General features: G+C 44.9%; 1 long non-coding RNA gene across 1 annotated transcript in view, besides 5 other annotated features; it reads left to right on the top strand.

Moving 5' to 3' along the window:
• Positions 1,271–2,470: an enhancer, noted in NCBI's record as "P300/CBP strongly-dependent group 1 enhancer chr16:12707003-12708202 (GRCh37/hg19 assembly coordinates)". NCBI's record gives its function as "activates an origin of replication core promoter dependent on BRD2, BRD4, P300/CBP, MED14 and CDK7 cofactors, with strong dependence on P300/CBP, by STARR-seq in HCT116 cells {active_cell/tissue: HCT116}" and the evidence as "EXISTENCE:reporter gene assay evidence [ECO:0000049][PMID:35650434]".
• Positions 1,661–1,820: an enhancer, noted in NCBI's record as "active region_10478". NCBI's record gives its function as "activates an Ori minimal core promoter by ATAC-STARR-seq in GM12878 lymphoblastoid cells {active_cell/tissue: GM12878}" and the evidence as "EXISTENCE:reporter gene assay evidence [ECO:0000049][PMID:35858748]".
• Positions 2,001–2,140: an enhancer, noted in NCBI's record as "active region_10477". NCBI's record gives its function as "activates an Ori minimal core promoter by ATAC-STARR-seq in GM12878 lymphoblastoid cells {active_cell/tissue: GM12878}" and the evidence as "EXISTENCE:reporter gene assay evidence [ECO:0000049][PMID:35858748]".
• Positions 2,631–3,010: a transcriptional cis regulatory region, noted in NCBI's record as "candidate enhancer chr16.1337 targeted for multiplex CRISPR interference". NCBI's record gives its function as "positively regulates CPPED1 gene expression with high confidence in K562 cells {active_cell/tissue: K562}" and the evidence as "EXISTENCE:mutant phenotype evidence [ECO:0000015][PMID:30612741]".
• The window catches only part of SNX29-AS3 (SNX29 antisense RNA 3), an 80,226-nt gene continuing 58,756 nt past the window's right edge, over positions 4,474–25,943 (top strand). The window contains exon 1 of the long non-coding RNA XR_007064988.1: positions 4,474–4,878. This is a non-coding gene — a long non-coding RNA (SNX29 antisense RNA 3). The remainder of the gene's footprint in view (positions 4,879–25,943) is intronic.
• Positions 22,959–23,478: an enhancer, noted in NCBI's record as "H3K4me1 hESC enhancer chr16:12685995-12686514 (GRCh37/hg19 assembly coordinates)". NCBI's record gives its function as "activates a minimal SCP1, AML or CMV promoter by ChIP-STARR-seq in primed H9 embryonic stem cells {active_cell/tissue: H9 hESC(primed)}" and the evidence as "EXISTENCE:reporter gene assay evidence [ECO:0000049][PMID:30033119]".

The raw sequence follows: 25,943 nt of genomic DNA, 5'->3' as shown, positions 1-25,943 counted from the left end.
ACACGGTCTCACCCTATGCTTTAGGCTGGAGTGTAGTGGTAAGATCATAGCCTCGATCTCCTGGGCTCGAGTGATCCTCCACAAGTATCTGGGGACTACTAGTGCATGCCACCACTCCTGGCTAATTTTTAAACTTTCGTAGAGACAAGGTCTTGCTATCTTGTCGGGGATGGTCTCAAACTCCTCAACTGGAGCAATCCTCGTGCCTTGGCCTCCGAAATTGCTGGGATTATAGGCATGAGCCACCAGGCCTGGTCTGACTCGTTCAATGTAGTTAAATCTTCTGTAACAAGGTTCTCTTATACTTTGGGGGATGGCCCCATTTAGGCAAAAATAAGATTTCTTACTATTTTCCAGTGATAAGTACTTGTTAGAACTATGATAATGGATTATATGTGCATATCATAACTCAAAGGCTTTGACACGCATTATCTGATTTGATTACCAGTCATGCATTTAAAGAGATTAGTGTATCCTTTTTCAAAGGATACACTAAGAGGTGAACTGAGGGTGTTCTGTAGCGACTTAATGTTGTAACTAGTAGGTAAAAGCAGAGAGCTAGTATTTAACTCCCAGTCCCCATATTGGCTGACCACTGAATTGCCTGGGCAGGTTCCTAAATGCTTTCTTGCCAGAGAATTCCCTAGATCTGCCTACAGAAAGCACACAGGTGTCTGTGAAAGGCAGGGGCACCCAGGGGTCAAGAGCAAAGGCTCTAGAGTGAGCATGTGTACATCTGTAAATGCTGAAAATCTGAGACAGGTTGCAGTTAATCCAGAAAGTTTATTTTGCCAAAGTTGAACACACCTGTCTGTGACACTCTCAGGAGTTCCTGACGACCTGTGCCCGAGGTGGTCAGAACACAACTGGCTTTTACACTTCCTAGGGAGACATAACACATCCATCAATACGTGCTGGATGAACATTGGTTCGGTCTGGAAAGACGGGGCAGGTCTAGAAAGGCAAGACAACTTGAAGCAAAGCTGGGAGGACTCGACGGCGCGGTGGGGGAGGGGCGGGGTGGGCTTCCAGGTCCTAGGTAGATAAGAGACAAATGGTTCCATTCTTCTGACTTTAAGTTCTTTTTTTTGGTGGTTTTTTCAATGTAACTTAAAGACTTACCGTAATTTAGAGTTTATTACCCTGAGTCTTGAGCCAACTTGGCTGACTGTGAAATGCAAGGTATATTCATGAGAGAACTGCGACTCTCACATGAAGATTTTAGTATACACGGTTAAACACTTACTGTTACTGCAGAATCAACGTTCTCTTTCTGTGATTTCAAGTTATAAACTGATAATGCATAACCTTGTCTGAAAAGAGACGATGTGCCCAAGGAGAGCACACGTGCATGATTGCAGCTTTGGCCCTGAGCACGATGCTTTTCTTTTTGGAGAGTGGATTCCAAACACAGTGGCTGTCACAAGGCTTCTCATGGACCAAGATGTTATAAATAATCGGTGCCATAAAAGAAATAGCACTGAAATGTAAATTTAACTTTCTGCAGCTTTTACTTCTATAGAAGGGTGCAACTCGTGAGTGGAGCAATACTGAGGGCATACCTGAACAAGGGATGGGAAGGGGTTTTTATTCCTGATGTAGGTAGCCCCTACTGCTGTGTCATTCCCCTATTGGCTAAGGTCGGACCACACAGTCTAAGCTAATTCCGATTGCCTATTTTAAAGAAAGCCAGGGGTATGAGTCGGAGTGGTGGGGGTGAGTAGCTTGGCAGGAAAGACGGTTACAGAACAGGTGACTAAGGATGAGTCAGGACACAGCAGGTGACCAGGGTGACTCAGGTCAAAGCAGGTGACCAGTGGAACAGATGTGAACTACTGATTAGAACTGGTGGGAAAGTTGCTCACTGAATCTAGAGGCAAGGGGGTGAAGGAAAACCACAAAAAACGTTAAAATGGAGAACAAAGAATGAGAGAGCTGAACATACTGACATAATGATTCTTTGAAGAGAAACTTGGAGTTCACTATATTTAACAAAGAGGTGGTGGAAGGCGTGGAAAGAAAAGGAACAAGCATCCTGTCTTGGTCCCTGTCCTTCAGCCCTTGAGTTCAAAGGGCAGAGGCATCGAAATGTTTGTCGGATTAATGATTAACATCTGCTGGTCTGCCGCCGTTCTCCTTGGGAGCATGGCCAAGGTCTACATCCCCTATTCTTCCCCCTCTATCTGGCTTGATCTGTGACTTTCATCTAATTTACAAACATTTGCATTGAAATGACAATCTCAAGGCTCAAAGACTTCAACCTCAAGCACCATGTAGTAGCCCAGTGAATTTTTTTTTTTTTTAAGCAGCGGGGGTGGGCTTTGGGGAGACGGGGGAATGAGTAAGAAACTTCTTGGGTCTGTTATCAGAGGCATTCGAACCAGAGCAACTCCGTCCTGAATGAGGGCTAGGAAAATGAGGCTGGAACTTGGGAGGCGGCATTCTGGACTGGTAGCTATTCTTGGCCTCTAGATGTTTCTGGTTAAGGGAACAGATTAATAACACTTAAAAATTATTGATGCCACAAAAGAAATAGCACTTGAAAATTTCCTCAAGGCAATTTTACTTCTATAGAAGGGTGACTTACAGATGGAGCAATGGCGAGAGCACAGCTGAACCAAGGGAGAGGAAGGGGTTCTTATTTCTGAGACAGGTAGCCTCTACTGCTGTCATTCCCCTATTGGCTAGGGTTGGACCACAGTGTAAGCTAATTCCGAATGGCTATTTTAAAGAGCAGTGGGTACAAGTCTGAGAAGCAGGAATGACTGCTACAGAACCGGTGACTCACGATGATTGAAGTCAGAGCAGGTAACCAGCGTTGACTCAGGATGGAGTAGGTGACCAGGGCAACACATGTGACCTACTGATTAGAACTGGTGGAAAAGCTTGTTTACTGAAACTAGGGGCAAGGAGATGAGAACGAGGAAGTTAAACTTTAAAATGGACAAAACGGGAGCCGAACGTGTACTGATAGATTGGCTCTTTGGATGGGATGTCAGAACTCATTGTACTTAACAATTGACAGGCTAAAATCTTGGAAGAGGTATTACATCCTTCAATGCTTACTAAAGAGACCCAGATGTGGGAGTGTCATGTTATCCTGATACCTTGAACAGAAGGATTCGTAATTTCGCTTCGAAGATAATACTGATTCTTGTAAAATGTAGTAATTAAGAATTATTACAAATCCTTGTAGCAGAGCATGTCTCTCATCAAGATGTTTTGTTTTTTGATGCAGTCTTGCTCTGTTGTCCAGATTGGAGTACAATGGTGCAGTCTCAGCTCATTGCAACCTCTACCTCCCGGGTTCAAGCAATTCTCCTGCCTTAGCCTCCCAAGTAGCTGGGCGCACAGGCACGTGCCACCACCCCTGGCTAATTTTTGTATTTTTTAGTACAGACTGTTTGACCATGTTGTGTAGGCTAGTCTCAAACGCATGACCTCAAGTGATCCCCCCCACCTCAGCCTCACAAAGTGCTGGGATTACAGGCGTGAATCACCATGCCCGGCCCCTCATGATCTTTTTTATTCTCTATAAACAAGCATTGTACCTAGAGTGGATGCATTCCCCTTTCTTTTGGGAATGCCCTACTCTATGGCTAACAGTACTTAGGCTACTTCCTTAATAAACATACTTTTGCTTTGCACTGTGGACTTGCCCCTGAATTCTTTTGTGCACGAGATCCAAGAAGCCTCTCTTGGGGGTCTGGATCAGGACCCCTTGCCTGTAACATTGTTACCTCCCTTTTCGACCAAAGCAGCCTCATTTTTTTTATTGCATTGTGGTGTGGAGCCCCAAAACTAGTTGGCATCTCTGGACCCCTAAAGATCTAGGTAACACTTGGTGAATTTTTAAAATCTCCCTTTTCATGGGTTTTTAGAAATTCAAAGTACTCTCCAAGATTTTCCCAAATCCCAGGTGCTTCTACCATTATTGTTACATGAAAGGGTTCCTGATGCAGTCCCGAGAGAGATGGTTCTTGGATCTCCTGCAAGAAAGAAAGAAAGCACAAGTCTGTAAAGTGAAAGCAAGGTGATTAAGAAAATCAAGGAATAAAGAATGGCTACTCAATAGACAGAGCAGCCCTGAGGGCTGCTGGTTGCCTTTTTTTATGGCTATTTCTTGACATGCTAAACAAGGGGTGGATTATTCATACCTCCCCTCTTTAGACCATATAGGGTAACTTCCAGATGTTGCCATGGCATTTGTAAGCTGTCATGGCAGTGGTGGGAGTGTAGCAGTGAGGACGGTCAGAGGCCACTTTAAGCACCATCTTGGTTTTGGTGGGTTTTGGCCGGCTTCTTTACTGCAACCTGTTTTATCAGCAAACAGGTCGGCACAAGATACAGCTATCTCATCCTGTGACTAAGTGTCTTAAGCGTCTGGGAATGCAGCCCAATAGTTTCAGCCTCATTTTATCCAGCTCCTACCCAAGATGGAGTTGCTCTGGTTCAAATCCCTCTGACACCATTATGACATCTTCTCTAATTTTCATGCTTGTGTGAAATTATTTGGGCTGAAGTGGTCAGACAGCTTGGGCTACCTTGTCACCATATTGTGCTAGGTGGAGGCTACTGCCTCTAGAAGACTGTCTATTGTGCCTTGAATACACAGCATTGACTTTGCAGGGTCATCTTGCTGGATAACATAGCACCACCCAAACAGGAGAATTGAGGCTGAGACTGGATCAGGCCCAGTGGAACATAGCGAAATGAGAATAAGCTTTCGTGTTAGAATCCTGCCTATGTGATCTCCAGCAACTTAACATCTCTGAGCCACTTCATTTATCTGGAGAATGGGGCTAAATCTTCCTGAGTTTTTGAGGCTTACAGCGAATAATGTACGGCACCTGACATGCAGTAAACAAGAAATCAAAGGTAAATACCATTATTCAGTCTTCAGCACAGAATTTGTTCATTTTCTTACCATACCGCCCTTCCTCCCCCACTTTATAAAGAACAGAGACAGATCTCATTTTTTCAGATCTAACAGGTACCCCCATCCCCATGACTGGCTTTCAATAGATTGATCATAGTGTGCAGAGGTCAGCAAACTTTGGCCCACCTGTTTAGTAAATAAAGGTGAGTTGGAACACAGCCTTGTCCACGCATCAGTTGAATAGTTGGCAATGGGAATCTCATGATCTGCACCTAAAAATATTTGGCCCTTTACAGAAATACTTGGCCATCCCCTGGCTTATAGCCGGTTGTGTTTTGTTTCCCTGTGTCTCTTTCCCACCCCAGCTGGGATTCAGGCTAGCCTGTTTGTCTAATCAGATCTGAGGAAAGTGCATTCAGTTGATGAAATCGGCTAACAAGGGTTCATTGCTACGGGCTCATTGTGTTTGGAGATGGGGAATGTGCGTGGGTTGGTCAGAGCCTTAACCCACAGCCCTGCTCCCAGGAAGCTTTCTGACCACTTCTGTGGATAAACAAGGCACGCATAGCTGGGCACAGTAGCTCACACAACACCTGCACTTTGGGAGGCCGAGGCAAGAGGATGGCTTCAGCTCAGGAGTTTGATACCATCCTGGGAAACAAGGCAAAACCCTGTCTCCACTAAAAACACAAAAATTAATGGGGTGTGGCAATATGTGCCTGTAATCCCAACTACTTGGGAGGCTGAGGGAGGATGGCTTGAGCCCAGGAGGTAGGGGCTGGAGTGTACTATGATTGTGCCGTTGCACTGCAGCCTGTGTAACAGAGCAAGAACCTGTCTCAAAAATACAAACAAAATATAAAAAAGCCATGTGAGCCACAGGCCAGAACTTTAACCCAAACTTGTATACGGATTAGCTTCAACCTTTTAATCTATCTGGGCCTCAGTTCCCCCATCCATTAAATGGCAATAATTTTAAGTTTTACGGTACATGTGCATAACATGCAGGTTTGTTACATAAATACACATGTGCCATGTTGCTGTGCTGTACCCATTAACTTGCTTAACATTAGGTGTATCTCCTAATGTTATGCCTCCCCCTCCCTCCACCCCACAACAGGCCCCAGTGTGTGATGTTCCCCTTCCTGTGTCCATGTGTTCTCATTGTTCAACTCCCACCTATAAGTGAGAATATGCTGTGTTTGGTTTTTTGTCCTTGCCATAGTTTGCTGAGAATGATTGTTTCCAGCTTCATCCACATCCCTACAAAGGACATGAACTCATCATTTTTTATGGCTGCATAGTATTCCATGGTGTATATGTGCCACGTTTTCTTAATCCAGTCTATCATTGTTGGACGTTTGGGTTAGTTCCAAGTCTTTGCTATTGTGAATAGTGCTGCGATAAATATCTGTGCATGTGTCTTTATGGCAGCATGTTTTATAGTTCTTTGGGTATATACCCAGTAATTGGGATAGCTGGGTCAAATGGTATCTTTAGTTCTAGATCCCTGAGGAATCGCCACACTGACTTCCACAATGGTTGAACTACTTTACAGTCCCACCAACAGTGTAAGTGTTCCTATTTCTCCATATCCTCCCCAGCACCTGTTGTTTCCTGACTTTTTAATGATTGCCATTCTAACTGGTGAGATGGTATCTCATTGTGGTTTTGATTTGCATTTGATGGCCAGTGATGAGCATTTTTTCATGTCTGTTGGCTGCATAAATGTCTCCTGAGAAGTGTCTGTTCATATCCTTTGCCCACTTTTTGATGGGGACTTTTTTTTCTTGTAAATTTTGAGTTCTCTGTAGATTCTGGATATTAGCCCTTTGTCAGATGGGTAGCTGGCAAAAATTTTCTCCCATTCTGTAGGTTGCCTGTTCACTCTGATGGTAGTTTGTTTTGCTGTGCAGAAGCTCTTTACTTTAATTAGATCCCATTTGTCAATTTTGGTTTGGTTGCCATTGCTTTTGGTGTTTAAGACATGAAGTCCTTGCCCATGTCTATGTCCTGAATGGTAATGCCTAGGTTTTCTTCTAGGGTTTTTATGGTTTTAGGTCTAAAGTTGAAGTCTTTAATCCATCTTGAATTTTTGTATGAGGTGTAAGGAAGGGATCCAGTTTCAGCTTTCTACATATGGCTAGCCAGTTTTCCCAGCACCATTTATTAAATGGGGAATCCTTTCCCCATTGTTTTTCTCAGGTTTGTCCAAGATCAGATAGAAATAAAGCCACATATCTACAACTGAGGGCTCTGTTCTGTTCCATTTATCTATATCTGTTTTGGTACCAGTACCATGCTGTTTTGGTTACTGTAGCCTTGTAGTATAGTTTCAAGTCAGGTAGTGTGATGCCTACAGCTTTGTTTTTTGCCTTAGGATTGATTTGGCAATGTGGGCTCTTCTTTGGTTCCATATGAACTTTAAGGTTTTTTCCAATTTAGTGAAGAAAGTCATTGGTAGCTTGATGGGGATGGCATTGAATCTGTAAATTACCCTGGGCGGTATGGCCATTTTCATGATACTGATTCTTCCTACCCATGAGCATGGAATGTTCTTCCATTTGTTTGTATCCTTCTATTTCATTGAGCAGTGGTTTATAGTTCTCCTTGAAGAGGTCTTTCACATCCCTTGTAAGTTGGATTTCTAGGTGTATTATTCTCTTTGAAGCAGTTGTGAATGGGAGTTCACTCATAATTTGGCTGTCTGTTACTGGTGTATAGGAATGCTTGTGATTTTTGCACATTGACTTTTGTATCCTGAGACTTTGCTGAAGTTGCCTATCAGCTTAAGGAGATTTTGGGCTGGGACAGTGGGGTTTTCTAGATACACAATCATGTCATCTGCAAATAGGGACAATTTGACTTCCTCTTTTCCTAATTGAATACCCTTTATTTCTTTCTCCTGCCTGATGGCCCCGGCCAGAACTTCCAACACTGTTGAGTAGCAGTGGTGAGAGAGGTCATCCCTGTCTTGTGCCAGTTTTCAAAGGGAATGCTTCCAGTTTTTGCCCATTCAGTATCATATTGGCTCTGAGTTTGTCATAGATAGCTCTTGTTATTTTGAGACAAGTCCCATCGATACCTAATTTGAGAGTTTTTAGCATGAAGGTTGTCCAAATTTTGTCAAAGGCCTTTTCTGCATCTATTGAGATAATCATGTGGTTTTTGCTGTTCTGTTTATGTGCTGGATTATGTTTGATTTGTGTATGTTGAATCAGCCTTGCATCCCAGGGATGAAGCCCACTTGATCATGGTGGATAAGTTTTTGATGTGCTGCTGCATTCGGTTTGCCAGTATTTTATTGAGGATTTTTGCATTCATGTTCATCAGGGATATTGGTCTAAAATTCTTTTTTTGTTGTCTCTGCCGGGCTTTGGTATCAGGATGATGCTGGCCTCATAAAATGAGTTAGGGAGGATTCCCTCTTTTTCTATTGATTGGAATAGTTTCAGAAGGAATGGTACCAGCTCCTCCTTGTATCTCTGGTAGAATTCGGCTGTGAATCTATCTGGTCCTGGACTTTTTTTGGTTGGTAAGCTATTACTGCCTCAATTTCAGAGCCTGTTATTGGTCTATTCAGAGATTCAACTTCCTGGTTTAGTTTTGGTAGTGTGTATGTGTTGAGGAATTTATCCATTTCTCCTGGATTTTCTAGTTTATTTGTATGGAGGTGTTCATAGTATTCTCTGATGGTAGTCTGTATTTCTGTGGGATCAGTGGTGACAACCCCTTTATGATTTTTTTATTGCATGTATTTGATTCTTCTCTTAGTCTTGCTAGTGGCCGATCAGTTTTGATCTTTTAAAAAAAAAAAACAGCTCCTGGATTCTTTTTTTTTTTTTTTTTTTTTTTTTTTTTTTTTTTTTTTTGGGTCTCTTTCCTTCAGTTCTGCTCTGACCTTACTACTTGCCTTCTGCTAGCTTCTGAATGTGTTTGCTCTTGCTTTTCTAGTTCTTTCGTGATGTTAGGGTGTCAATTTTAGATCTTCCCTGCTTTCTCTTATGGGTATTTAGTGGTATAAATTTTCCTCTACACACAGCTTTGAATGTGTCCCAGAGATTCTTGTATGTTGTCTTTGTTCTCGTTGGTTTCAAAGAACATTTTATTTTCTGCCTTCATTTTGTTACGTACTCAGTGGTCATTCAGGAGCAGGTTGTTCACTTTCCATGTAGTTGAGTGGTTTTGAGTGAGTTTAATCCTGAGTTCTAGTTTGTACTGTGGTCTGAGAGACAGTTTGTTATAATTTATATTTTTACATTTGCTGAGGAGTGCTTTACTTCCAACTATGTGGTCAATTTTGGAATATGTGTGGTGTGCTGAAGAATGTATATTCTGTTGATTTGGGGTGGGGAGTTCTGTAGATGTCTATTAGGTCTGCTTGCTGCAGAGCTGAGTTCAGTTACTGGATATCCTTATTAACTTTGTCTCGATCTAATGTTGACAGTGGGGTGTTAAAGTCTCCCATTATTATTGTGTGGGAGTCTAAGTCTCTTTGTAGGTCACTCAGGACTTGCTTTATGAATCTCGGTGCTCCTGTATTGGGTGCACATATATTTAGGATAGTTAGCTCTTCTGGTTGAATTGATACCTTTACCATTATGTAATGGCTGCCTTTGTCTGTTCGGATCTTTGTTGGTTTAAAGTCTGTTTTATCAGAGACTAGGATTCCAACCCCTGGCTTTTTTTGTTTGCCATTTGCTTGGTAGATCTTCCTCCATCCCTTTATCTTGAGCCTATGTTGTATCTCTGCATGTGAGATGGGTTTCCTGAATACAGCACACTGATGGGTCTTGACTCTTTATCCAATTTGCCAGTTTGTGTCTTTAATTGGAGCATTTAGTCCATTCACATTTAGTTAATATTATGTGTGAATTTGGTCCTGTCATTATAGATGTTAGCTGGTTATTTTGCTTGTTAGTTGATGCAGTTTCTTCCTAGCCTCGATGGTGTTTAAAATTTGGCATGTTGTTGCAGTGGCCGGTACTGGTTGTTACTTTCAATGTTTAGTGTCTCCTTCAGGAGCTCTTTTAGGGCAGGCCTGGTAGTGACAAAATCTCTCAGCATTTGCTTGTCTGTATTTTATTTCTCCTTCATTAATGAAGCTTAGTTTGGCTGGATATGAAATTCTGGGTTGAATATTCTTTAAGAATGTTGAATATTGGCCCCCACTGTCTTTTGGCTTTTAGTTTCTGCTGAGAGATCAGCTGTTAGTCTGATGGGCTTCTCTTTGTGGGTAACCCGACCTTTCTCTGGCTGCCCTTAACATTTTTTCCTTCATTTCAACTTTGGTGAATCTGACAATTATGTGTATTGGAGTTGCTCTTCTCCAGGAGTATCTTTGTGGTGTTCTCTGTATTTCCTAAATTTGAATATTGGCCTGCCTTGCTAGATGGGGGAGGTTCTCCTGGATAATACCCTGCAGAGTGTTTTCCAACTTGGTTCCATTCTCCCTGTCACTTGCAGGTACACCAATCAGACGTAGATTTGGTCTTCTCACATAGTGCCATATTTCTTGGAGGCTTTGTTCATTTCTTTTAATTTTTTTTTTCTCTAAACTTCATTTCATTTGATCTTCCATCACTGATACCGTTTCTTCCAGTTGATTTGAGTCGGCTTCTGAGGCTTGTGCATTCGTCACGTAGTTCTTGTGCCTTGGTTTTCATCTCCTACAGGTCCTTTAAGGACTTCTCTGCTTTGGTTATCCTAGTCATTCATCTAATTTTTTTTCAAGGTTTTAAAATTCTTTGCCATAGGTTCGAACTTCCTCCTTTACCTCACAGTAGTTTGTCTGAAACCTTCTCTAAACTCGTCAGTCATTCTCTGTCCAGCTTTGTTCCATTGCTGGTGAGGAGCTGCATTCCTTTGGAGGGGGGGAGAGGCACTCTGATTTTTAGATTTTTTGTTTTTCTGCTCTGCTTTTTTCCCATCTTTGTGGTTTTTATCTACCTTTGGTCTTTGATGTGCAGATGGGGTTTTGGTGTGGATGTCCTTTCTCTTTAGTTTTCCTTCTGACAGACAGGACCCTCAGCTTCAGGTCTGTTGGAGTTTGCTGGAGGTCTACTCCAGACCCTGTTTGCCTGGGTATTAGCAGCAGAAGCTGCAGAACAGTGGATACTGGTGAACAGCAAATGTTGCTGCCTGATCCTTTGGAAGTTTTGTCTCAGAACTACCTGGCCATGTGAGGTGTAAGTCTGCCTGTACTGGGGGGTGCCTCCCAGTTAGGCTACTCGGCGGTGAGGGACCCACTTGAGACTGTCGATTCTCAGATCCCAAGCTGAGTGCTGGGAGAACCACTGCTCTCTTCAAAGCTGTCAGACAGGGACGTTTAAAAGTCTGCAGAGGTTTCTGCTGCCTTTCCTTTGGCTATGCCCTGCCCCTAGAGGTGGAGCCTACAGAGGCAGGTGGGCCTCCTTGAGCTGCAGTGGGCTCCACTGAGCTCAAGCTGCCCGGCTGCTTTGTTTACCTACTCAACCCTCAGCAATGGCGGGTGGCTGTCCCCCAGCCTCACTGCTGCCTTGCAGTTTGATCTCAGACTGCTGTGCCAGAAATGAGTGAGGCTCCATGGGCATAAGACCCTCTGAGCCAGGCGTGGGATATACTCTCCTGGTGTGTCATTTGCTAAGACCATTGGAAAAGCACAGTATTAGCGTGGGAGTGACCCAATTTTGCAGGTGCCTTCTGTCACAGCTTTGCTTGGCTAGGAAAGGGAATTCCCTGACCCCTTGCACTTCACAGGTGAGGCAATGCCTTGCCCTCCTTTGGCTCAGGCTTGGTGCACTGTGCCCACTGACCTGCGCCCCTCAGTGAGATGAACCCGGTACCTCAGTTGGAAATGGAGAAATCAGCTGTCTCTTCTGCATTGCTCACTCTGGGAGCTGTAGACTGGAGCTATTCCTATTCGGCCATCTTGGCTCCTCCCCCCAGATGGCAATAATAGGACCTACCCTTCTACACCTGATGCCGTCACTGCAAAAACTGAAATATTTTTGTTTTAGAAGTTCTTGATTTGAACAGCATTTGGGGGATATATGACCTCTTCACCTGCACTCCCAACTTTGCCTAGAAAATGTGATCACCCATAGAAAGACATGACTGACCCCACTTCAGATCCATCTGTCCTGGTGCCAGCCTTCCTGCCTCAGTGCCTTCTCCCTACCCAAACCTCTTGCTCTGGCTAACTTATTGTCCTCTGGCTGTGCCTCTGCCTGGAGAACCCCTCCCACAGACCCCCAGTGCTGACCGACTACAATGGGTGACCATGTTGTCATTGAGAAGATGAAGGGCCCTTTCTAGGTGGGAACCATGGAAATGGCCTCTGCCTGCTAAGGGCATCACCAAGGACACCTGGGCCCTTACAGCCCAGACCTTGAGACAGCTGCAGTTGAGACTAAATTGGGGTCACTGACTCTACATCTGTCCTAGTCTCTCCCTTTCCCCAAAGCCCTGGAGCAGATGGTGGTCATTTTCTTCCATTCCCCTTCAACTCCCTCCTCATTAACATGCGTCTTCTTCCGCCAGGGCCTCTCTCAGCACATGGCAAATGACGACCGTGTTTCACGTCAAATGTTCCTCCGGGGACAGAGGAGGAACTTCAGGGAGTGTCAGCAGTTTTTGCAGTCTGTTTATGGGAGGAGGTGGTGGAAGGGATGTGCTACCGACATACCTCCTTCATCCTGTCCCCTACCCCGAGTCTGAGACGGCAGGCCACTGTGGGCACCCCTTGAATCAGTCCACTGGGGGGTCTCTTCCTACATGGGAGCCCTGGGCTGGGCTTCTGGAACCGCCTGCATGGATGTTGCAGGAGCCTCCCGTCGGGGCTGCTTGCGTTGCTGTTTGTGCTTCACTCAACCCCACAGCAACAGAGTAGTGGGCTTTTATGGAAGGCGGCCTTGAGGCCAAGCCCCACTGTGTCCAGTAGCTCCTAGTCCCTGACACTGTTTACCATGCACCTCCCTCTACGTGGAAGGCAGCCATGGCTGATCAGCTCTCCCTACACCTTGGGCACTGCCAAAGTCCTTTAAAGGCGTCTACCTCATAATCCTTGGAACCTACGGGTATTACCTTGTAGGACAGAAGGGACTTAGCAGCTGTGATTAAAGCAACAGAGATGGGGGAGATTATGCTGAATTACCCAGGTGCATCCAATATAAGTTCTTTCTGAGGCTTGCTCTGTCATCAAGGCTGGAGTGCATTGGCACGATTTCGGCTTACTGCAACCTCTGCCTCCAAGGTTCAACTGATACTCCTCCCTCAGCCTCCTGAGTAGTTGGGATTACAGGTGTGCACCACCATGCCAGGCTAGTTTTTGTATTTTTAGTAGAGATGGGGTTTTGCCATGTTGACCAGGCTGGTCTTGAGCTCCTGACCTCAGGTGATGTGGCTGCCTTGGCCTTATTTCCATAAGCTCTTAAAAGCAGAGAGCCTATCCTGGCTGTGTTGAGAGAGATGCTACAAGGACTTGAGAAGTGAAACTAAGTGGAAGATGAGAGATCTGAAGTGAGAGGGGCTAACTTCATCTGGCTTTGGAGATGAAGGAAAAAGGCCACACCCCAAGGAATGTCTTAAGCTACTAACTCTGGTCACCTGTTACAGGAGCAATAGGCCCCTAATAGTGTTTAACCTAGGGGTGGAGTCTTCAGGGAATAGGGCAACAGGGCGTACACATGTTCATTTCTCTAGACAGGATCACATCGATCTCCGTCAAAAGTGAGATGAGTCTCTGGGATAAAATGAAGGTGTCCATTGCATCCCTTCAGGAAGCTCCTAGAGGTGACTGTTTCCTTTTTCCAGCTTTTAGAGGCCACCTGTGTTCCTTTGGCCTGTGGCCCCTTCCATCCTCGAAGAGCATCTCTTGGCAGTGACCTTCTCTGCTCTCCGCTTCCACTTCTAAGGACCCCTGTGAATGACACTGGGCACACCCAGCTAATCCAGGATAATCTTGCCATCACACTCAGCTGGTTAGCAACCTTGATCCCATCTGTATCCTTCATGCCCCCTTGCCATCATCACAAGATCCTTAGGGTGTTGCTTTGCAACTGGAAACCCCTGTGGTCAGTGGGACCTTCTGCCTGAGCATTGCTCACACCTGCTGGGCTCATTGTGCTCACCTGGCTAAGCAGGCTGCACTTGGCTCATGCCACTGGCCCAGAACCCCATACCTTCCAAGGGTGAGCCAGGCACGAAGTGACGACGGGTGTGTGGGTGACAAGCGTGGGGCCTGGCTGCTGTGTATGGCCAGGTGTGCTGGGTGCTACAACAGGGCAGGCAGCTCTGGGTACTGGCACAGGTGCTGACTCTGCAAGGCTGACTGGACCAGACGTACCACATGTGGCTGTTTCTGTGGGTACCCTTGTCTGAACAAGGGGTATGTGCTGGCAGCTGGAAGCTTGGAGATGCCAGGAACTCCTGATCCCCAAAGAGGGTGTTACAGTCCTGGCTTGGGGAGCCCCCTAGATCTGGGTTCCCTGGAGGACTGCAACTCTTTCCTTCTCAATACATGCAATGTGGCAAGTTAGTGTGTGTGGGTGTGTTTCAGCCCTGTTTGTTACAGCTCTTTCAGTCCCACCATTTGGCGGGTCCCAAGTACTTGTCCTCCTTCCTAGAAGAATGAGGTACACGGACAACTGGAGGGTGAGCAAGGTAGAGAAGAGCTTCACTGAGTGACGGAACAGCTCTCAGGAGGCTTGCGGAGGGTAGCTTCTTCCCAAAGGCAGGTTGTCCTGATGACTGTCCAGCTTTCACCAGAGAGGAGACCCGAAGTGGGTAACTCCTTCCTGTAGCTGGTAGTCCCGACTTGTGTTAGTCTGGCTGAGTCTGGGGTTGTTAGAGGCTCAGAAGAAAGGAAGTACATGCTGATTGGTCCATGAGTGGGCCCAGTGAAAGCAGTATAAGTTCTCACTCCACCTGGAACAGACAGCCCGGGCTTCAGGCCATCCCTGGCTTTGAAGGTGAGGTTTCACCAGGGACCTACCCCTTTCTGTCCAGAAACGTGTCTGCCTCCCGCCATCAACATGCTGTCCACAGCACCCAGGCTGTTTGGGCCTAGGGATTCTTGCAGGCCCATGCTGAGCTGCCCTCAGCCACCCCGACCTCCCTCCCACACTTAGTGCCACCCAAAGTCCAGAGGGGGCCAAGGTAGTGGTTGGGGGTGGTGGTGTATATGCTGGTGTTTGAATCCTGCCCGAAGCACATGTACCCCCCAGGTGGGTTACTAAAGTGTCTAGGCTTGGCCACAACTTTGCTTTGAAATTGAAGTGGGCACCGGATCCAGGGACAGGCCAGGGAAGTGGGAACAGGCACTTCGGAGCCTGCGGTAGGAGGGGAGGCTTCCCAGCCCCCTGAGAGCACAGGGATGCCCGGGTCCAGAACCACAGCCGGGTGGCTGCAGTTGTGCCCAGGAGGGTGGGGCTCATGCATGTTCCCAGGTCTTGCTGGCTCTGAATTGCGCAGCCCTGGCCATGCTGCCGCCTCTGCAACTGGCATCCTGCAGTAGCTGCTCCACATGGGCTGCCCTTGCCATTGCCATGACCCACGATGTGTCCCATGACAGGAGGAGATGGATGCTTGCACGGGGCCATTTCTCTGCCTACTATAACGTATTAGGTTTTGACATTTTTGCCAGCCTGGTATTTCTAAAATGACAAATCACTGTGGTCTTAATTTGCATTCATTGGAGGCATGTTTTTTGTATAAGGAACAGTAGTGACTTTGGGGCTTAGAAACTGATAAGCATTAACACGCTCTTAAGTGTTATTGATGTTGGTATTTGGACTTTCACCAAGGATCGCTAGCTTTGGGAGTTGGCTACCCTGAGTGTGAGTGTGGCTCACTCTAGTTGTGTGGCCTTGCTCTGGGTGTCAATTCCCACCTAACATGGTAGCTCTAAAATGTGTTAGCCACCTGTCCTTGTGAGTAACAGATGCTCAAAAAAATGACTTCTACTGAAACCAGGGAAGATGAGCAGGATCAAGGTGGTATCTGCTATGTGAGGAGGAGGACAGAGGCTTCCTGAACTGTGAAGGTACTGAGTCTGAGAACCCCAGAAAACAAAGGCCAACCTGCATCTCCAGGCCTTCCCTTACCTTGACTATTTCCATTGCAATGGGATGAAGTTCCCCAATTTTCAGAGCCTGACTGTTTAGGCAATATGCACATTATCTACACAGCAGCCAACACTTAGCCAAAGGCAGATTCTTCATTGTCCAAACAGGATTCTTATTTGAGGTATAAGAAGTTTGCTCACTAAAGCTGAGCTCTGTGGGTAAGACCTTGTGATGCTTTCGGGGAGTGGAAGGAAGAGTTATGATTGCTTTTCTTAATACCTCAGATGGAAATCCTGGACCTCTTTAAGGCTGCCATGTGCAGTTGAACAGGTTGCACACAATTCCAGGATGTCCTCTGATGGAGCCTGTAGGAGTTGAAGCCTGACCGGTGCCCCACTCGCCAAGCCTGTGAAGCTAAGTGTAGGACTGCATCTGTCTAGGAGAATAAATACTTTGGTGATTTGTGCAGAGGCAACTTAAGAATTAACAGCAACTTTGTTCCTGGTGATATTCAACTGAAGGACTCTTTATGGATTGGGGACAGTGAGAGGTGGATTGTTCCGGATTGCCACCAGAAACCTAGAAATCAAGCTTGGGTCATGTCTACACAACAGCTTGTAACGCACCGTGGGTCTTACTTTTGGGCCCTATGTGGTGATGGACAGACGCTGATGGACAGCTTCAGAATGAAGGTCTCCATTTTCTCATTCATGTTACCTAACAAACAAAGGTTACATGTTTATCATGGGACTTAAGGGTTCTTCTGTGTTCCTTCCATGACAGTCTAAAAAGGTTTATCTTTTGTGGGCTGATTGTGGGAGGATGGTGAGGGATATAGCGCATCAGCAAGGAAGACGTCTTATGAATGGGACACGGCCAGAAATTAGTGGCATGGGCCAGGCCTGGTGACTCATGCCTGTAATCCCAGCACTTTGGGAGGCCGAGGGAGGTGGATCATCTGAGGTCAGGAGTTTGAGACCAGCCTGGCCAACATGGTGAAAACCCCATCTCTACTAAAAACACAAAACTCAGCCAGGCGTGGTTGGGGTGCAAACGTGTAACCCCAGCTACTTGGGAGGCTGAGGCAGGAGATACACTTGAAACCAGGAGGTAGAGGGTACAATGAGCCCAAGATCATGTCACTGTGCTCCAGCCTGGCTGACAGAGCAAGACTTTTCTTTTTTGAGACAAAGTCCCATGGCCATTCGTAACTTCCAAGAGGCTGGGAAACAGCTTTTATTCTGGGTGGCCATGTGTCCCATTGAAAACTGGATGTTCTGTCCTTCTATAAAGGAGGAGGAATAGATATTGGGGTCTTAAGGGCTGTCCACCACAGTGGCTTCCAGAAATACTCCGGCTACTGGGGAAGTTCTCGTGATATGCATGTAGACAGTTACATACTTCACACAGCGCAGCCCAATTCGGTACTCTTTGATGGAAACCTCTAGAAAGAGGTAGAAGAAAAGGACAGGAAGCTGAAACGATGGAAATGGCCCCAGGTGCCTTTTGTCCCATTCTCTCAGCCTGAGTCCCAAGGCTGTTCCTTAAGAGGAACGTGGCTGGTGACTGCTGTGAAGATAATGACTGTCCTGGGACAGAAGGTTTGGCTGCTGGACTTGAATTCATTTGTTACCATTGTACTTCGGGAGCTGGTTGAGAAGAATCGTACAAACTCCATCTAATGCCGAGGTTGCTGCGATGGGGTCTGTGTGCCCTAGGGGACGCATAAAACAAGTCGTTGGGTAGATGTATAAACCTAAGAGTCAACTTTAGAAAATCTTACTTCAAAATTTTCCTTTGGGGTATCTGTTGTAATACAGCATATTAGAATACAGTTAATTTCTGAGCTGAAAAAACCTGTTCATGCTCAATGTTTGCTGACAAAGGCATGTGACGACAATTGAAAGCACTGCACCCAGAGAGGTTCCATCACAGCAGTCCCCTTCAAATCGAGGCCCCTTCTGGAGCTGCGAACTTCCTGTCCATTTGGACCAGCCCCCTTCCCTAAAACTCATGCGTTGGAATCACGGCTGGGGGTGGTGGTTCAGCCTATAATCCGAGCACTTTTGGAGGCCAAGGCGGCAGGATGGCTTGAGCCCAGGAGTTTGAGACCAGCCTGGACAACCTAGTAAGATCTCCTCTCTACCCCCTCAAAAAAAAAAAAAAAAAAGCCAGGTGTGGTGGCTGAGAATGGTGGTTTCCAGCTTCATCCATGTCTGTACAAAGGACATGAACTCATCATTTTTTATGGCTGCATAGTATTCCCTGATGTAAATGTGCCACATTTTCTTAATCCAGTCTATCATTGTTAGACATTTGGGTTGGTTCCAAGTCTGCTTATTGTGAATAGTGCCGCAATAAACATATGTGTGCATGTCTCTTTATAGCAGCATGATTTATAGTCCTTTGGCTATATACCCAGTAATGGGATGGCTGGGTCAAATGGTATTTCTAATTCTAAATCCCTGAGGAATTGCCACACTGACTTCCACGATGGTTGAATTAGTTTACAGTCCCACCAACAGTGTAAAAGTGTTGCTATTTCTCCACATCCTCTCCAGCACCTGTGTCCTGACTTTGTAATGATTGCTATTCTAACTGGTGTGAGATGGTATCTCATTGTGGTTTTGATTTGCATTTCTCTGGCCAGTGATGGTGAGCATTTTTTCATGTGTCTTTGGGCTTCTTAAATGTCTTTTGAGAAGTGTGTGTTCATATCCTTTGCCCACTTTTTGATGGGGTTGTTTTTTTCTTGTAAATTTGAGTTCACTGTAGATTCTGGATATTAGCCCTTTGTCAGATGAGTAGGTTGTGAAAATTTCCTCCCATTCTGTAGGTTGCCTGTTCACTCTGATGGTAGTTTCTTTTGCTGTGCAGAAGCTCTTTAGTTTAATTAGATCCCATTGGTCAATTTTGGCTTTGGTTACCATTGCTTTTGGTGTTTTCGACATGAAGTCCTTGCCCATGCCTATGTACTGAATGGTAATGCCTAGGTTTTCTTCTAGGGTTTTTATGGTTTTTAGGTCTAAAGTTTAAGTCTTTAATCCATCTTGAATTAATTTTCGTTTAAGGTGTAAGGAAGGGATCCAGTTTCAGCTTTCTACATCTGGCTAGCCAGTTTTCCCAGCACCATTTATTAAATAGGGAATCCTTTCCCCATTGCTTGTTTTTCTCAGGTTTGTCAAGGATCAGATAGTTGTAGATATCCGGCTTTATTTCTGAGGGCTCTGTTCTGATCCATTGGTCTATGTATCTGTTTTGGTACCAGTACCATGGTGTTTTGGTTACTGTAGGCTTGGAGGATAGTTTCAAGTCAGGTAGTGTGATGACTCCAACTTTGTTGTTTTGGCTTAGGATTGACTTGGCTAAGCGGGCTCTTTTTTGGTTCCATATGAACTTTAAAGTAGTTTTTGCTAATTGTGTGAAAAAAGTCATTGGTAGCTTGATGGGGATGGCATTGAATCTATAAATTACCTTGGGCAGTATGGCCATTTTCACAATATTCTTCCTACCCATGAGCATGCAATAGTTTTCCATTTATTTGTATCTTTTTATTTCATTGAACAGTGGTTTGTGTAGTTCTCGTTGAAGAGGTCCTTCACATCCCTTGTAAGTTGGATTCCTAGGTATTTTATTCTCTGAAGCAATTGTGAATGGGAGTTCACTCATGATTTGGCTCTGTCTATTATTGGTGTACAAGAATGCTTGTGATTTTTGTACACTGATTTTGTATCAAGCAACTTCAGCAAAGTCTCAGATCAGCTTGAGATTTTGGGCTGAGACAATTGGGTTTTCTAGATACACAATCATGTCGTCTGCAAACAGGGACAATTTGACTTCCTCTTTTCCTAATTGAATACCCTTTATTTCCTTCTCCTGTCTAATTGCCCTGGCTAAAACTTCCAACACTGTGTTGAATAGGAGTGGTGAGAGAGGGCATCCCTGTCTTGTGCCAGTTTTCAAAGGGAATGCTTCCAGTTTTTGCCCATTCAGTATGATACTGGCTGTGGGTTTGTCATAGATAGCTCTTATTATTGTGAGATACGTCCCATCAATACCTAATTCATTGAGAGTTTTACCATAAAGGTTGTTGAATTTTGTCAAAGGCCTTTTCTGCATCTATTGAGATAATGTGGTTTTTGTCTTTGCTTCTGTTCATATGCTGGATTACATGTATTGATTTCTGTATATTGAACCAGCCTTGCATCCCAGGGATGAAGCCCACTTGATCATGGTGGATAAGCTTTTTGATGTGCTGCTGGATTAGGTTTGCCAGTATTTTATTGAGGATTTTTGTATCAATGTTCATCAAGGATATTGGACTTAAAATTTTCTTTGGTTGTCTCTGCCTGGCTTTGGTATCAGGATGATGCTGGTCTCATAAAATGAGTTAGGGAGGATTCCCTCTTTTTCTATTGATTGGAATAGTTTCAGAAGGAATGGTACCAGCTCCTCCTTGTACCTCTGGTAGAATTTGGCTGTGAATCCATCTGGTCCTGGACTCTTTTTGGTTGGTAAGCTATTGATGATTGCCACCATTTCAGAGCCTGTTATTGATCTATTCAGAGATTCACCTTCTTCCTGGTTTAGTCTTGTGAGGGTGTATGTGTCAAGGAATTTATCCATTTCTTCTAGATTTTTTAGCTTATTTGCGTAGTTTGTGTAGAGGTGTTTGTTGTATTCTGATGGTAGTTTGTATTTCTGTTGGATCAGTGGTGATATCCCCTTTATCATTTTTTATTGCATCTATTTGATTCTTTTTTTCTTTTAGTCTTGCTATTGGTCTATCAATTTTGTTGATCCTTTCAAAAAACCAGCTCCTGGATTCATTTTTTTTGAAGGGTTTTTTGTGTCTATTTCCTTCAGTTCTGCTCTGATTTTAGTTATTTCTTGCCTTCTAGCTTTTGAATGTGTTTGCTCTTGCTTTTTTTCTAGTTCTTTTAATTGTGATGTGAGGGTGTCAATTTTGGATCTTTCCTGCTTTCTCTTGTGGGCATTTAGTGCTGTAAATTTCCCTCTACACACTGCTTTGAATGTGTCCCAGAGGTTCTGGTATCTTGTCATTGTGCTCGTTGGTTTCAAAGATAATCTTTATTTCTGCCTTCATTTCGTTATGTACCCAGTAGTCATTCAGGAGCAGGTCGTTCAGTTTCCATGTAGTTGAGTGGTTTTGAGTGAGTTTCTTAATCCTGAGTTCTAGTTGGATTGCACTGTGGTCTGAGAGAGTTTGTTACATTTGCTGAGGAGTGCTTTACTTCCAACTATGTGGTCAATTTTGCAATAGGTGTGGTGTGGTGCTGAAAAAAAAATATTCTGTTGATTTGGGGTGGAGAGTTCTGTAGATGTCTATTAGGTCTGCTTGGTTCAGAGCTGGGTTAAATTCCTGGGTATCTTAACTTTCTGTCTCGTTGATCTGTGGAATGTTGACAGTGGGGTGTTAGACTCCCACACAATAATAATGGTAGACTGTCTATACGTCACTCAGGACTTGCTTTATGAATCTGGGTGCTCCTGTATTGGGTGCATATATATTTAGGATAGCTAGCTCTTGTTGAATTGATCCCTTCACCATTATGTAATGGCCTTTTTTCTCTCTTTTGATCTTGGTTGGTTTAAAGTCTTTTATCAGAGACTAGGATTGCAACCCCTGCCTTTTTTTGTTTTCCATTTGCTTGGTGGATCTTCCTCCATCCTTTTATTTTGAGCCTATCTGTGTCTCTGCACATGAGATGGGTTTCCTGAATACAGCATACTGTCGGGTCTTCACTCTTTATCCAATTTGCCAGTCTGTGTCTTTTAATTGGGGCATTTAGTCCATTTACATTTGAAGTTAATATTGTTATGGGTGAATTTGATCCTGTCATTATGATAGCTGGTTATTTTGCTCGTTAGTTGATGCAGTTTCTTTGTAGTCTTGATGGTCTTTACATTTCGGCATGGTTTTGCAGTGGCTGGTACCTGTTGCGCCTTTCCATGTTTACTGCCTCCTTCAGGAGCTCTTTCAGGGCAGGCCTGGTGGTGACAAAATCTCTCAGCATTTGCTTGTCTGTAAAGTATTTTATTTCTCCTTCACTTATGAAGCTTAGTTTGGCTGGATATGAAATTCTGGGTTGAAAATTATTTAAGAATGTTGAATACTGGCCCCTACTCTTCTGGCTTGTAGAGTTTCTGCTGAGAGATCAGCTGTTAGTCTGATGGGCTTCCCTTTGTGGGTAACCTGACGTTTCTCTCTGGCTGCCCTTAACGTTTTTTCCATCATTTCAACTTTGGTGAATCTGACAATTACGTGTCTGGGAGTTGCTCTTCTCCAGGAGTATCTTAGCGGCATTCTCTGTGTTTCCTGAATCTGAATGTTGGCCTGCATTACTAGATTGGGGAAGTTCTCCTGGATAATATCCTGCAGAGTGTTTTCCAACTTGGTTCTATTCTCCCCGTCACTTTAAGGTACAGCAATCAGGCGTAGATTGGGTCTTTTCACAGTCTCATATTTCTTGGAGGCTTTTCTCCTTTTTTGTTCTTTTTTTCTTTTTTTTCTCTCAACTTCCCTTCTTGCTTGATTTCATATGATCTTCCATCACTGATACCCTTTCTTCCAGTTGAGTGAATCGGCTCCTGAGGCTTCTGCATTCTTTACATCGTTCTTGAGGCTTGGCTTTCAGCCCTATCAGCTCCTTTAAGCACTTCTCTGTATTGGTTATTCTAGTTATATATTCATCTAAATCTTTTTTCAGGTTTTAACTTCTTTGCCTTGGGTTTGAATTTCCTCCTGTAGCTCGGAGTAGTTTGATCATCTGAAGCCGACTTCTCTGAACTCGTCAGTCATTCTCTGTCCAGCTTTGTTCCATTGCTGGTGAGGAACTGCATTCCTTTGGAGGACAAGTGCTCTGCTTTTTAGAGTTTCCAGTTTTTCTGCTGTTTTTTTCCCCATCTTTGTGGTTTTATCTACTTTTGGTCTTTGATGGTGATGTACAGATGGGTTTTTGGTGTCGATGTCCTTTGTTTTCCTTCTAACAGACAGGACCCTCAGCTGCTGGTCTGTTGGATTTTGCTAGAGGTCCACTCCAGACCCTGTTTGCCTGGGTACCAGAAGTGGTGGCTGCAGAACCCCGGATTTTCATGATCTGCGAATGTTGCTGTCTGATCCGTTCCTCTGGAAGTTTTGTCTCAGGAGTACCCGGCCTTGTGAGGTGTCAGTCTGCCCCTACGGGGGGGTGCTTTCCAGTTAGGCTGCTTGGGGGTCAGGGACCCACTTGAGGAGGCAGTCTGCCCGTTCTCAGATATTTAGCTGCGTGCTGGGAGAACCACTGCTCTCTTCAAAGCTGTCAGACAGGGACATTTAAGTCTGCGGAGGTTACTGCTGTCTTCTTGTTTGTGCCCTGCCCCCACAGGTGGAGCCTACAGAAGCAGGCAGGTCTCCTTGAGCTGTGGTGGGCTCCACCCAGTTCGAGCTTCCCGGCTGCTTTGTTTACCTAAGTGAGCCTGGGCAATGGCGGGTGCCCCTCCCCCAGCCTCACTGCCGCCTTGCAGTTTGATGTCAGACTGCTGTGCTAGCAATCAGCGACACTCAAGTGGGCATAGGACCCTCCGAGCCATGTGTGGGATGTAATCTCCTGGTGCGCTGCTTTGGAAAAGCGCAGTATTCAGGTGGGAGTGACCTGATTTTCCAGGTGCCGTTTGTCAACCCTTTCTTTGACTAGGAAAGGGAGCTCCCTGACCCCTTGTGCTGCCTGAGTGAGGCAATGCCTTGCCCTGCTTTGGCTTGCGCAGGGTGCACTTCACCCACTGTCCTGTGCCCACTATCTGGCACTCCCTAGTGAGATGAACCCAGTACTTCAGATGGAAATGGAGAAATTGTGTCTTCTGTGTCACTCATGCTGGGAGCTGTAGATCAGAGCTGTTCCTGTTGGGCCATCTTGGTTGTCCTCTTTGTATTTTTAATAGAGACAGGGTTTTACCATGTTTCCCAGGCTGGTCTCAAACTCCCAAACTGAGGTGATAGGTCTGCTTCGCCCTCCTGAAGTGCTGCGATTACAGGTGTGAGCCACTGTGCCCAGCCTGCATTAGCTATTCTTATGCTCTCCCTCCCCCACCCCCACCACAGGCCCCAAAGTGTGAGTTGTTCCTCCAATGTGTTTATATGTTACCATTGTGGAGCTTTCACTTATAAGTGAGGATATGTGGTATTTGGTTTTCTGTTCTGTGTTAGTTTGCTGAGGATAATGGGCTCCAGTTCCATCCATCTTTGCAAAGCACATGATCTTGTTCCTTTTTATGGCTGCTTAGTATTGTGTTCATATACCACATTTTCTTTATCCAGTATATCATTGATGGGCATTATGCACATTTAAATATTCCTGTGGATGTCTTGTCTTGGACATGTGAGCTAAATTTTATTGGCTATATACCTGACAGGTGGATCACTGGATCATAGGATAGGCATCTATTCAACCTCAGGAGACAGATCAGTCTTCCTAAGATCTCCTGCCAGGGGTGTATGAGAATTGCAGTTTCATCATATCCAGACCAAAACTTACTATTTCCTGCCTTTCTTCATTTTCAGATTTTGATGAGTATGAAGTGCTGTTTTAATTTGCATTTTCCTGATGACTAATGACTCAATGCTTTTTCACATGTTTATTAGCCCTTTTTTTTTTTTTTTTTTTTTTTTTTTTTGGTGACAGTCTCACTGTTTGCCACGATGGTATGCAGTGGCATAATCTTGGCTCACTGCAACCTCTGACTCCCAGGCTCAAGTGATTCTCCTGCCTCAGTCTCCTGAGTAACTGGGACTATAGATGCCTGCTACCACACTTGGCTGATTTTTGTGTTTTCAGGAGAGAAGGGGTCTTACCGTGTTAGCCAGCCTGTTCTTCAACTCCTGACTTCAAATGATCTACCTGTCTCGGCCTCCCAAAGTGTTGGGATTACAGGCATGAGCCACTGTGCCTGGCCTATTAGCTATTTTTTAATGAAGTGTGTCTTCAGGTCTTTTGCTCATTTTTCTATCAGGTGGTTGTTGTCCTCATTGCTTTGCAGGAGTTCTTTATTTCCTGGACCTAAGTTGTTTATGCAATAGGATATTGCGAACATATTTCCCTGCCCTTGGGATTGAAGGTCGTTATTTGTATTTGCTTTCTGTTGCTGCATTAAGAATTACCACAAACATAGCAGATAGAAACAGCCTACATGTATAGCTGTGTAGACTCAGTTTATCAGAGTGTGCCTAGGTTCTCTGCTCAAGGTATTATAAAGCTGAACTGAATCCTCACCCGGAGGATATAAGGAGCAAACTTCTAAGCTTTTTTTTTTTTTTGTGGGAGAAGGAATATCCCTTTGCTGCCCAGGCTGGAGTACAGTGGCACAATCTTGACTCATTGCAACCTCCACCTCCCGGGTTGAAGTGATTCTCCTGCCTCAGCCTCCTGAGTGGCTGGGATTACAGGTGTGCACTACCATGCCTGGCTAATCTTTGTATTTTTAGTAGAGATGGGGTTTCACTGTCTTAGGCTGGTATCAAACTCCTGACCTTAAGTGACCCACTTTCCTCAGCCTCCCCAAGTGCTGGGATTATAGCCAAGCTCTTTCTTGCCACTTGCAGGGTTCTGTTCCTTGGAGCCAACAACCATGGTCCCTGTTGCCTTGCTGGTCATCAGTTGGGGTGGCAATTAGCACCTTAATGTTACCCATGTTCCTTTACATACAGCACCCTCCATCTGCTAAACCAGCAATGGGACTTCAAATCCTTCCCACACTTTGAGATTTTGGCCACTTCAATCTGTGAGCCCTTGGCTCAGGCAAGTACGCCAGGTCCCCCAGATAATCTCCTTCTGGATTAGCTCAAAGTCAACTGATTAGTAACCTTAATTACATCAGTGAAATCCCTTTTGCTTCCACATAAGGTAACATAATCACAGGAATCCCATCAGGTTCAGCTCACTCTAGAGCATCCATTGGGCTGTCAGTCAAGAAAAATGATGAGACAGGTCTCAATCATTTTAGGAGGTTTATTTGCCAAAGAT

Source organism: Homo sapiens, chromosome 16 (genome assembly GCF_000001405.40).
Source record: "Homo sapiens chromosome 16, GRCh38.p14 Primary Assembly".
In the NCBI taxonomy this organism is placed as follows: Eukaryota; Metazoa; Chordata; class Mammalia; order Primates; family Hominidae; genus Homo; species Homo sapiens.
Note: the sequence above shows the minus strand (reverse complement) of the source record. Positions and strands in the feature narration are given on the sequence as shown.